The sequence below is a fragment of the Homo sapiens genome, chromosome X (assembly GCF_000001405.40).
Source record: "Homo sapiens chromosome X, GRCh38.p14 Primary Assembly".
NCBI classification, from domain to species: Eukaryota; Metazoa; Chordata; class Mammalia; order Primates; family Hominidae; genus Homo; species Homo sapiens.
Window position 1 is genome coordinate 129,496,230 of NC_000023.11, and position 12,812 is coordinate 129,509,041.

The window sequence follows — 12,812 nt, forward strand, 5'->3', positions numbered from 1 at the left end:
CATGATAAATACCTATACCTATTTTGTCACATTTAGTTTTTACAAGAGCTCTATAAGAACCAAGATCATTCCCTTTATGGATTACTATGCTTCATGAGTCTTTAGGGTTGCTTATAAACTGGCAAAATCTCAACCATTAAACTCCACAAATGGCAAAGGTCTGCTATAGCTGGCAAATTAGGAAAAGAAAATGACATGAAATTGGAGGTTAGAGAGTAAGGTGAGAAACTGTTAGTAATTTAAAAGGTCAGAGATAGGCATGATTAGAGAAAATAAGGATGGGATGGTGTAGTGCCCTTTAGATAAGTGGTGATGTCTTTGAAGACCTTGAAAAAGATGATTTGTAAAGAATCAATGGAATGGAAGCCACACTGAAGATTGAAGAGAGAAAGAGATGCTAATGAGAAATTCAATGCACCCACCTAAAGAAAAGGCAAAAGTTCAAAACTACCTAATGTTGATATACATTGCTTAATTGAACTCTGATTTCTGAAATCTTATTTTATTTTCTCTTCCTCACCTCTCTTTCTTCATGCGGGGTTTGTCCATCCAGTCGACAATACTCATAACCACGCCACATGCAATAATCTTCCAAAATATCCAGCAAGCGAGTCATCTGGCTGAAAATGAGAACCCTTGAACCTAAAACATTTCACCAAGAAAAAGTGAGTTGTACAACTTGTGTGAAACTAACTTAAAAGCTACAAAATAAACATATGCAACATAAATGTAGAGCACATGAACACTCCACTAACGCACACACACACGTGCACACACACACACACACACACACCCCCACACACCTTCAAGAGATGCTATATATAGAATTATGCATTTGTTGAGTTTGGCATTTTTTAAGGTCTTCAAAATCCTCCACACATATTGCAACGACTTAAAAGATTGCCTTTACTTTTTCTTAAGGATGAATGATGGGTCCACAGGCTCTCTCACTGGACTACAGCAATAGTCTCCCAACTAGTCTCCTGTTCCTAGTCTCTCATCCTCAATAGACCCCCATACTGCTTTCAAGGTTCTCTTCCTAACATGTAAGAGTGACATACTCCGATTGTCACTCTTCACAGCCAAGTCTTCTCTGACACTCCCTCTGCCTTCAAAATAAAAGTCCTAACTCCTTAAGGCATGGTTTAAAATACCGTTCATAATTTGGCTCCATCCATCTTTCCAGATTCATCAACTGCCACTCTACCCCAAGTACCATATGCTCTCTGTGTTCCCTTGTTTCACGCCTCTGTTTCATTACCCTGGAAAACCCTTCCCCTCCTTTTCCCCATGGTTCACTCCTACACATTGTCCAGTGCTCACCTCAAAGGTCATCTCTGTGAAGACTTTCCCAACTCCCAGTTTCTCAACATATCATAGCACTTATCACAATGAATTGCAACTATTCCTCCTCACTACACTGTGAGCTTATCCAAGGCAAAGATTGTTGTCTTATTCATCTTTGTACACCCAGCCTGTAGGACAATTCCTGGCAAATGGTAAGTACTCAACAATGTCTGCTGAATAAGTGAATGAATGAATATGGAAAATTTTATTTATATACAAGTCATTAATATAAATTTATTCCATGCTAATTTAAAAATTTATTACTCACCCTGTTCTTTGAGTTTGGCCAATAGTTTATCCAGAACTACCATTTTACCACTGTTGCTGACAATATGCTCATCAGTGGTATAAGGTGGACCAGGTTCAGCACCATCAAACAGATATGGATGATTACAACACTTTCGAAGCTGCATCAGAATGTTTAAGAGTCGCATCTTGTCCATCTTGCCAGAAGAGTTTAAAACATCAATATCTTTCATCAGGATTTTTGTATACCTAAAAATTTAAACTATAATTAATCATCAATTACTAGAAAGTTAATGTCATAAACAAATGTTCCTTTGGCCATCAGATTAGATTCCTGTTTAAAGATAAACAAGATTTGATTTGAGATTAAATCTAATGGGCAAAACCTACAAAGTAATGAATATTTGAACATGTGAACTTGTGTGTTGCTTATAAACCTGTTTCCTCCTGCTTTATCCATGACAAGAAACTGCCATCAGTTGACAATTATTTAGAGAATTCTATCTGCTAATTATCAGTAACTACAACATTTGCCTGAATTTGACATCCAACATTTACTTGTTTGAACTAAAAACAATTTCAATTTCTTATACCTGTCTTCACAGGTCATTTTTTTCTGATCCTATAAATATTTTTCATTCTCTTTTCTACAATTCCACCCCCACAGAGACTTACATATATATATACACCCGATCAATGATAATATGTAATTATAATAATTATCAACTTTTGCTGAGTGCAAGTGCCAAGTATCATGTCAAGGGCTTTATACGAATTATGCCACTAAATCTTCATAACAATTCTGAGTATTTACTAGTATCATCCCCATTTTACAGATGGAAATTAAGGCAGCTAAGAGAAGTTAAACAACTTACTCAGGGTCACAGAAGGGACAAAACCAAGCTGTGATCTTAGTCTGAGTCCAAAGAATATACTCTTAATCTCTACCCTATACTGGCTTATGTAGTAAAGAAATCATATATTTTATACATGATCTAATTGTATTTATATACGTAACATTTTGCTCCTATTAGCAGCACTATTACATTATTAACACTTCCCACTTATGATTCCTTGTGACTTCCCTTGTCAATTTCCTGCTTTAAGTGCATTTATCTAACCATTCCAGATTCTATTTTTGTAATATCCACAATCACCAACATTTTCATCAACACTAGTAATATGGTTATAATTATTTTCACTGAAGGAAAAAGCAAGAATGCTTTTTTTTTTGAGACACGGTCTCACTCTGTTGCCTACCCTGGAGTGCAGTGGCACAAACATGGCTCACTGCAGCCTTGACTTCCTGGGCTCCAGTAATCCTCCTGCCTCAGCCTCTCATGTAGCTGGAAACACAGGTGTGTGCCACAATGCCCAGCTAATTTTATTTTTTATTTTTTGTAGAGATGGGGTCTCACTTTGTTGCCCAGGCTAGTCTTGAACTCCTAGGCTCAAACAATCCTCCTGCCTTGGCCTCCCAAAGTGCTGGGATTACAGATGTAAGCCACTGCACCTGGCCAAAGAATGCTTTTAAAGAATGCTTTTTAACTAACAAGCATGCCACTGACATTACCCCCTTTAATCCTAACACCATCCTCATAAATTAAATATTATTATCCCCATTTTACAGAATGGAAATTTAGGCTATGTAACTTGCCCAAGATAACTAGCTGTTAAGTGGTAATGCATGGAATTCAAACACAGATCTATAGACTCCAAAACCTATACTCTTTTCAAAGGGTTAAATAAAATACTTACAAATTTTCTCTGAAAATATCTGAACTACTTAACTTGCCATTTAAATATAAAATGTAATTTTTGAACTAATGGCATAACTGAACAACTACAAAGCTAATTTTTAGTAAATTCTTACACACAAATAAGTTTTAAAGGAAATGAAATAGCTCACCATTCTCGTTGCATCTTACTCAGCCCCAAGTAAATCTTTATTTCCTTTTTAGGTGGCAGACTCTTCTCTACATCAGTTTTTATACGGCGTAACAAAAATGGTTTTAAAACCTAAAAGGTGATCATTTTTATAAAAGTTTATGAAACATTTAATATGATTAATAATGTATTTCATTAACAACATTAATGTGAAATTTACTTCCCACTGCATAGTCTGACAAATACTACCAATACCAGTTGCGAACTTTCTTGGTAAAGAACCACCAAGTAAGAGTCCATTAGAAAATCAGAATAGGGGACCTAAAGTAGGCATTCATGACTTCATGGCACAAAATACATGAAAAATTAAGACAACAAGACTATTGGTTGCTGAATAAGCACCAAAGAACCCTTAAAAAAAAAAAAAAAAGAAGCTGCTGTAACACAAGATTTTTTTGTTTGTTTGTTTGTTTTTGGAGACAGAGTCTCACCCTGTCACCCAGGCTGGAGTGCAATGGCACAATCTCGGCTCACTGCAACCTCCGCCTCCTGGCTTCAAGCAATTCTCCTGCCTCAGCCTCCTGAGTAGCTGGAATTACAGGCATGCACCACCACGCCTGGCTCATTTTTGTATCTTTAGTAGAGACAGGGTTTCACCATGTTGGCCAGGCTGGTCTCGAACTCCTGACCCCGTGATCCACCCACCTTGGCCTCCCAAAGTGCTGGGATTACAGGCGTGAGCCACTGTGCCCAGCCCACAACAAGATTTTTAAACCTGAGAGGAAATCTGAAGTCAGAATATCGATCAGGGAGTCTTCAAAAATGAAATAAAAATGCAGGTCATTTCAAAGTACCATCATGTGCCACTTAATGATGGGGATATGTTCTAAGAAATGTGTTGTTAAGTGATCTCATCATTGTGCTAAGATCATAGAGTGTTCTTACACAAACCTACATGGTATATGTATTTATTTGTTTTTTCATATAGAAAACCACGTGTCCCAGCACTATTACTCACTATCAATCATTTCCCCTACTTGATCTGCAATGCCAGTATCAAGTGCCATATATCAGGTCTCTATATATGCTCCATTATAATCTGATGGGACCACCATCATCTATGCGGTCCATCGTTGACCATAACGCTGTTATGCCAGTGCATGACTGTAGTTAAATATATAAATGAGGAGAAAATATTCAATATGAAGGAAAATATAGATGAATAGAGAAAAAAAGATAAAATAGTCAGTGTATACCTGGAAGACAGGTTATATCACAAGACAATAGTGCTACAATCTATAGAGTACCTACCTACAATGTGCCAGATACTATACTATGAACTTTACATGTATTATTTAATCCTTACGATAAATCTGAAAGAAATGTTATCATTTCTATTTTAGTAAGGCCATCAAAGGAACTTTGCTAGCAAGTGGTAGATGTGGAATTCAAACCCAGATCAGGCTAATTCTAAAATCAGCTCAGTCCTGACTAGCTGTTGTGAGCCTAGGAAAGTTCTCTAATTTTTCCAAGCCTATTTCCTCATCGGTTCATCCAAAAACAAATATATGATATGTGTATATACCAAACTTTTTTTTTTTTTTGAGACAGAGTCTCGCTCTGTCACCCAGGCTGGAATGCAGTGGGGCAATCTCAGCTCACTGCAACCTCCGCCTCCCAGGTTCAAGCAATTCTCCTGCCTTAGCCTCCCAAGTAGCTGGGACTACAGGCGCACGCCACCACGCTCGGCTAATTTTTCCTATTTTAGTAGAGATGAGGTTTCACCATGTTGCCCAGGCTGGTCTCGAACTCCTGAGCTCAGGCAATCTGCCCGCCTCGACCTCCCAAAGTGCTAGGATTACAGGCGTGAGCCACTGCGCCCGGCCCGCCAAACTTTTTTTGGGGGGGGAGGTGGGGTGGAAGGGGACAGAGTCTCACTCTGTCACCAGGCTGAAATGCAGTGGTGAGATCTCGGCTCACTGCAACCTCCGTCTCCCAGGTTCAAGCCATTCTCCTACCTCAGCCTCCCGAGTAGCTGGGACTATAGGCGCGAGCCACCACGCCCAGCTAATTTTTTGTATTTTTAGTAGAGATGTGGTTTCACCATGTTGGCCAGGATGGTCTCAATCTCTTGACCTCATGATCCACCCGCCTCGGCCTCCCAAAGTGCTGGGATTACAGGTGTGAGCCACCCTGCCCGGCCAAACATTTTTAAATGGGGATAATGATACCTATTTCCAAGTCTGCTGTGGAAATTTGTGGTGGTACATGTGTAGAACTTAAGTATATAGCAGACAATAAACTGTAGCTATTATTATTAGAGATCTATGGGAGGTAAGGACAGGGGAAGAGTAAAAGAAGACTTCTGGCTTCTGGTGTGAGCCTCAAAGTTTTCTAAAAGATATCCTTAAGAGTTTAAACTGCCTGTGAGATACTTAAGCAAAAAGACTCCGAAGGCAATGGGATATGAAAGTATAGTGCTTAGGAGAAGGATACAGAGAGGTCAATTTAGGAGGCGTCAGTATATAGGTGGTAGGTAAAACCATGGGAGTGGATCCCCAGGGAGAGCATGTACGAAAGTCAAAGACAAAGCCTTATAAAATGTTAAACTTTATAAGAGACAGTCAAAGAAAGAAAAGCCCACGAAAGGGACTGATAGGGGTGGACAAAGGGTAAAAGAAAATCCAAAAGAGAACAGTATCCTAGAAACCAAGCAGCAAAGTTTCCAGCAGGAGGAGATAGTTAGCAGCTTCAAAGCAATAGCCAAGATACTGACCAAAAAGCGTACCCTGAATTCAGCAACTGGAAAGTCATTGAAGACACTGTGAGACAAATTTCAGTTGTATGGAATGGATAGAAGCCAGTGGCCAATGGATTCAAGAGTAAACAGGAGACTAGGGAGTAGATATGGAGAGGATAAACTACTCTTTCAAGGAGCTTAGCTATCAAGGGAAGAAAACGGAATCACAGCCAGAGGGACACAGTGTTGAGGGAGCACTGTTTTGCATATGTGTGAGGGTGGATGGGTACGTGTTTGGATTTGGAATTAATAAGGGAGACACCTGAGCATGTTTACACTTAGGGAAAAGACCCAATATGGATGGAGAGGTAGAAAATACAGTCAGTTAAAAAGATAGAAAATATAGTCAATTAAAAAGAGGTAGAAAATATAGTCAACTAAAAAGATAAATCATGGGGGAAAGTCCATAAAGAATAGGAAGAGATGAGATCAAGGATTCACATGGAAGAATTAGCCACTGACCAGAGAAAAGACACCTCTTCCACTCAAACAGAAGGTAACACAGATGCAGACCTCCTTAGAAGGTGGACATCCTTGAAGGACTTCCTACCTAATGTCTTCTTTTTTCTTTTTGAGAAAGGAATGATGTTACCTGATGAGGGAGAAGGAGGGCAGGAGATACCTGGGATAGAAATCTTGGGGAGACTGGGGAAGGTCTGAAATAGTTGTTATAGGAAACAGGAAAGAAGACTGTAGAAGGCCATGCTGAAGGATCACCAGTATCATGACATCTCAGCTTATGTTAGAGAACATGGAATCACAGTGGTTCCAACCTGGACAGTTGTGAAATCTTCTTTACCAGTGTTGGGCTGCCCCAATACAGAGATGTCCACTCTGCTAGTAAGCAGCAGAAGCAAAATTGAAGCCCAGAAGACAGAGAGACAGTTACATTACATTATTCCAGGTTACGGTTTTTAGGCAGGTATGGCAGACGGAGAAGGGAGCAAGGGAGTTTAGGAGTACTAGCCAAAGATGGTTCAAGTGATAGAAAATGAGTTCATTGCTGGATACAGAAAAAAGTCACAACAGAAATAAGCTGATAGATGGGGAGAAAATGCAGAGGTCTGGGGATTAGAGGTCTCTGTGAGGTAACAGGACAAGTACAGAAGGATTAACATGAACGAAAGCACTAGAAAGAGATGAGAAATTGCGATCAAAGAATAGAAAGTTGGGGCCAGGCACAGTGGTTCTCGCCTGTAATCTCAGCACTTTGGGAGGCCAAGATGGGTGGATCATGAGGTCAGGAGTTCGAGACCAGCCTGGCCAACATGGTGAAAACCCGTCTCTACTAAAAATACAAAAATTAGCCGGGCGTGGTGGCACGTGCCTTTAGTCCCAGCTACTTGGGAGGCTGAGGCAAGAGAATCGCTTGAACCCGGGAGGCAGAAGTTGCAGTGAGCCAAGATCATGCCACTGAACTCCAGCAGCCTGGGCTATAGAGCGAGACTCTCTCTCAAAAAAAAAAAAAAAAAGAAAAGAAAAGAAAGGTCGGATGCAGTGGCTCACGCCTGTAATCCCAGCACTTTGGGAGGCCCAGGCGGGCAGATTACCTGAGGTCAGGAGTTCGAGATCAGCCTGGCCAACATGGTGAAACCCCATCTCTACTAAAAATACAAAAATTAGCCGGGCGTGGTGGCACACGCCTGTAATCCCAGCTACTCGGGAGGCTGAGGCAGGAGGATTGCTTGAGCTCGGGAGGCGGACTTTGCAGTGTGCCAAGATCATGCCACTGCACTCCAGCCTGGCATACAATGTGTTAAGGAGCCACCCAATGATGAACAGATTAACAGGAAACAGAATGGGTGGAGGATAAAACTGCAAGACAGCTTAGGCTTCAAAGGAAGAGCTTTATACATGACAGTGGAGAAGCAGTAGCTTAGAAGTGGCAGTGGGTGAACTAGGAGAATACCGATACCATCCTGAGGAACTGTGGGGTGTGGGAGCAGGAACAGCCTCTCTATTGGAGAGGACCACATTATTCACAGGGGAGAGCCAAAGGAAAAAAGCTGTTCTAGAGAGAGGCTGAGGACATAGAGGAATAAAAAAAAAAAAAAAAAAAAAAAAAAAAAAAACAAAGAGGCTGTCAGAAAGGTTAGGAGGGAGAAACAGTGACATTGAGCCAAGAGGCAAACACAAGTTCAAACAGATTCCATAGCATTTTGTTTTCTGGGTCAGTTTGTGTATACTATTTAATTACTGAATGTTCTTGTCTGCTATTACTTACTGCATGAAGTCTTTCCACGAGTTTTTGATCACCAAGACAATTTTTAGTGTCAAACCAAGAATCAAAGTCCTGTAGAGGGGTGGAAATTCTCCAATGAGTGCACAGTTTTTTTAAATATACCCGATATTCTGTAGATTCTTATACAACCAATACGGAAATAATGCATTTAAAAAGTACTTTCAAAAATATTATCAGCTGTGATAGCTACTATTATTTACTTCTGAAAATAGGTAAAATACTGGAGCAGTTAACAAAATTTGAGCCCCACTGTGTAAGAATTCCATCAACTTTTTCCTTAAAAGACATTTATTAGGCTTCCCCATACTGTAGCAATATTATATCTAGTTTGAAAAGTAGAATATAAAATCAAAGACATAATGCTAATAAGAATGTTAATTTTACCAAACAATAAAACAAACAAAAGCAAGATAAAGTGTGCAAAGCAACTTATGGCCAAACTTGCTACTTTTTATTATCAATTAACAGTCATAATGGGGCCAGGTACGGTGGCTCACACCTGTAATCCCAGCACTTTGGGAGGCTGAGGTGGGCAGACCACTTGAGGTCAGGAGTTCGAGACCAGCCTGACCAACATGGCAAAACCCTGTCTCTACTAAAAATACAAAAAATTAGCCAGGTGTGGTGACGGGCACCTGTAATCCCAGCTACTGGGGAGGCTGAGGAAGGAGAATCACTTTAACCCGGGAGGCGGAGGTTGCAGAGAGCTGAGATTGTGCCACTGTACTCCAGCCTGGGGGACAGAGTGAGACTCCCTCTCAAAATAGTAATAATAATAATAATGGGAAAAATCAAGCACCAAAGTTCTTAAATCTTTCCATTTAGTTTGGTGTCCTAGCATAAATTTGTGTTAATGATAAAAATATATATATATAAATAACACATTTACACAATATGCTGTCTTTCAAATCACATACTCTGAGCTCTTTAGCACTCACCAAATGTCAATGCCTACAATAATCAAAGATCATTTTATAGCTTCCACCTGCCAAACTAGTATATAAAAATATGTTTCAAACCCCTTCAACTTAATGAAAATAAAATGGTGAATGCACTACTATGGACTCAGCCTCACATCATAAGTTTTAGGAGTAATGTGATAGAGACAAAATTGAACAGGCAAGTTGATCTCAAAGACAAGAAGCATACTATTTCTCCAAAGATCCTCATTTTAAAACTCTATTAAAGAACTCTTTCCTAAGAAAACCAAAACATGCAGATAAAAAATTACAAATTAAAAAGTACCATAAATTTCAATCTATAATGTTTTAAAACACATGTCAGTGAAAATAAGAAAGTTATACTTAAAACGTATGGCTTAAACTTACATCTGCAGAATTAAAGACATCAGGCAATAAAAAGTTGAGTAAGGCCCACAGTTCATGCAGGTTATTCTGCAAAGGTGTTCCAGTTAGGAGCAAGCGGTTAGTCGACTTGAACTCACGAACAATCTCTGAAAGCTAGAAAATAATACTCATATGAGGATTATTTTACTTATTAGAATGCTCAACATTCAGTTATACTGTAATTTATCCAACCAATATATTTTTGACTACAATATAACTTGAAAATTTTCTATGGAAAAATACCCTAGTTCAGGTGACAATGCTGCAGTGAGGCAAAACTAAACATTTCTATACTTAAAAGAATGCAAGCCAGGCGCAGTGGCTCATGCCTGTAATCCCAGCACTTTGGGTGGCCAAGGCAGGTGGATCACCTCAGGTCTGGGGTTTGAGACAGACTTGCCAACATGGTGAAACCCCATCTCTACTAAAAATACAAAAAAAAATTAGCTGGGCGTGGTGGTGCACGCCTTTAATTCCAGCTACTCAGGAGGCTGAGGCAGGAGAATCATTTCAATCCAGGAGGCGGAAGTTGCAGTGAGCTGAGATCACACCACTGCACTCCACCCTGGGCAACGGAGTGAAACTCCGTCTCAAAAAAAAAAAAAAAAAAAAAAAAAGGAAGAAGAATGCAGATCATATTTATACCTGAGACCCTCCCCCCAACTTCAAAATTTTCATTTCTCCATTTTGGGCTCACAGAAAAAGGTCAGAACTTCTCCATGGAATCCAGGTTAGCCATTTTACACAATAAAATCTCCATCTCCCCACCAACCACATTCATCTACATGCCCAGACACGTTCTAACTTGGCCTGGTCACAATTTTTAAGCCCCAGAATTGAGCCGATTTTCCCAGTAACTTATATTAACTTTCTAAACATAAGACCAGAAAAATTAAGACACAAAAAGCACAAAAGAATGGTAATCATATGAACAAAAATGCACATTTTTATAATGCTCTTAAATAAAAAATTATTCTCTAGCATGTGTCCTCTTATCAGATATTAGTTCCAATTTGAAATTAGTATAATCCACCTGGTGGTTTTGCTCCAGTTCTGTCCCTGTTTCTCCCAAATTAGCCCAGTGATCCAAAGAGAGGTTCATCATAATTGAAGCTTTTCCTACTGTTGATGGAGTTGAATGGCAAGAAATATTGATATTTTTCAGTGTTAACACCACACTCTAATTCACACAAGTCAGATAATTCCAGGAAATTATTTTCTCTCATCCATATAAATATATATAAGGTAGCCCCTCAATAAAAAATAAATCAATACAAACGATATTTGCACACTAAATATTCTCAACAATATTAAAATACTACAGCATAACAGTTAGGCACAGGAGGTATACCAAAGGAACACTTAATTTTCTTTACATTAAAAACTGTGCTCAATTTTAATGTGTCTTGTATTCAATAATTTAGATTTGCATTCACATTCCATGAATAAAATCACAATGTTCCATCTTTTTTCTTGAGACGGAGTCTCACTCTTTTGCCAGGCTGAAGTGCAGGGGTGCGATCTCGGCTCACTGCAACCTCCGCCTCCCGGGTTCAAGCTATTCTCCTGCCTCAGCCTCCCAAGTAGCTGGGACTACAGGCATGCACCACCACACCCTGATAATTTTTGTATTTTTAGTAGAGACGGGGTTTCACCATGTTGGTCAGAATGGTCTCAATCTCTTGATCTTGTGATCCGCCCTCCTCGGCCTCCCAAAGTGCTGGGATTACAGGCGTGAGCCACCACACCGGCTGTTCCATCATTTTTTATTCTGAATACAGAAAAGTGAACAAACCAACCTGGTAATTAAATGTAAACTTTAATAAAGATATTGATAACTTACCTTAGATTTTTCATTCTTTATTCTGTGAGCTTCATCAATGACCAGGTATCGCCAGTGAAACTTTTTGAATACAGATTTTTCTTTAATTACCATCTCATAAGAAGTAACGCAAACATCCCACTCTCCTGGCATCATTTCATCACGAATAAAAGCAGCCTAATGCAAAATAAAATACTTCATATTAGAATATATTTATATTAGAATATGTTATAAGATGATCACAGAATTAAAATATCAAGAAAATATTAAGAATTCTAAGAGACCCTGAGGATCATTTAGTTTCATCCATTTTAGAGATGGGAAAACTGAGGCCCAAAGATAGTTGTGTGGTCAATTATCTGGATGACCTGCTAATATATTCATTAACAGAAGAGAAACAAAGGCTTCCCTTACAGAAATATGGCATATTCAATGACCTAGAAAAGTTCGTATGACCAGAAATCACAAAGTTACTGGGCTTGTCTTCATATCATGGGGCATCCAAAAGAACATAGACAAAGTAACTCTTTCTGAACAACATATTCTTGCCAAGATCCAAGAGTTACCAACATGATACAGTTTCAACAAATAGAACTCAATGTGCATGAATGATTCCAACCTTTGGAGAACTCTTGTATGTCCCTTCTTCATTTTCTAGCTGGGCTGACTCATATACTTTGTTAAAAGGTCATGGAAGCCCACTAATGTTTTTGTGAAGTTCCAGATCTTGCCATGAGGTTACAAATATGATTTCATAAAGGGGACTTGCTCTGTCTAGTACAGGAGGCTATGGAAAACAATGAGACTATTTAAAACTATTTTTAAGTCTTCACAGGCAGTGGCCAACATGGTAGGTAAGTTGACTGAGAGCATTTTTAACTTGTATGAGCTGAATTCCAGATGTTATCAGTCAAAATAAAACCACAAAAGTTAATGGGAAGCAGCAAAATCTATATTAAGAAGAGGCTGATTAGTATTATAAATCTAGCTGGGCATGGTGGCTCACGCCTGTAATGTCAGCACTTTGGGAGGCCAAGGCAGATGGATCACGAGGTCAGGAGTTCAAGAACAGCCTGGCCAACATGGTGAAACCCCATCTCTACTAAAAAATACAAAAATTAG

The 12,812-nt window shown here is 39.3% G+C and overlaps 1 protein-coding gene across 7 annotated transcripts in view; it reads right to left on the reverse strand.

Annotated features, from left to right (window-relative positions):
* The window catches only part of SMARCA1 (SNF2 related chromatin remodeling ATPase 1), a 76,985-nt gene that overhangs the window by 49,724 nt on the left and 14,449 nt on the right, over positions 1-12,812 (reverse strand). For all 7 annotated transcript variants that reach the window (NM_001282875.2, NM_001378264.1, NM_001378263.1 and 4 more), the window contains exons 7-12: positions 11,712-11,867; positions 9,851-9,982; positions 8,505-8,573; positions 3,503-3,612; positions 1,616-1,842; positions 521-642 (exon numbers count right to left, since the gene is read on the reverse strand). In NM_001282875.2, the coding sequence (NP_001269804.1) occupies positions 521-642; positions 1,616-1,842; positions 3,503-3,612; positions 8,505-8,573; positions 9,851-9,982; positions 11,712-11,867 (816 nt within the window). The remainder of the gene's footprint in view (positions 1-520; positions 643-1,615; positions 1,843-3,502; positions 3,613-8,504; positions 8,574-9,850; positions 9,983-11,711; positions 11,868-12,812) is intronic.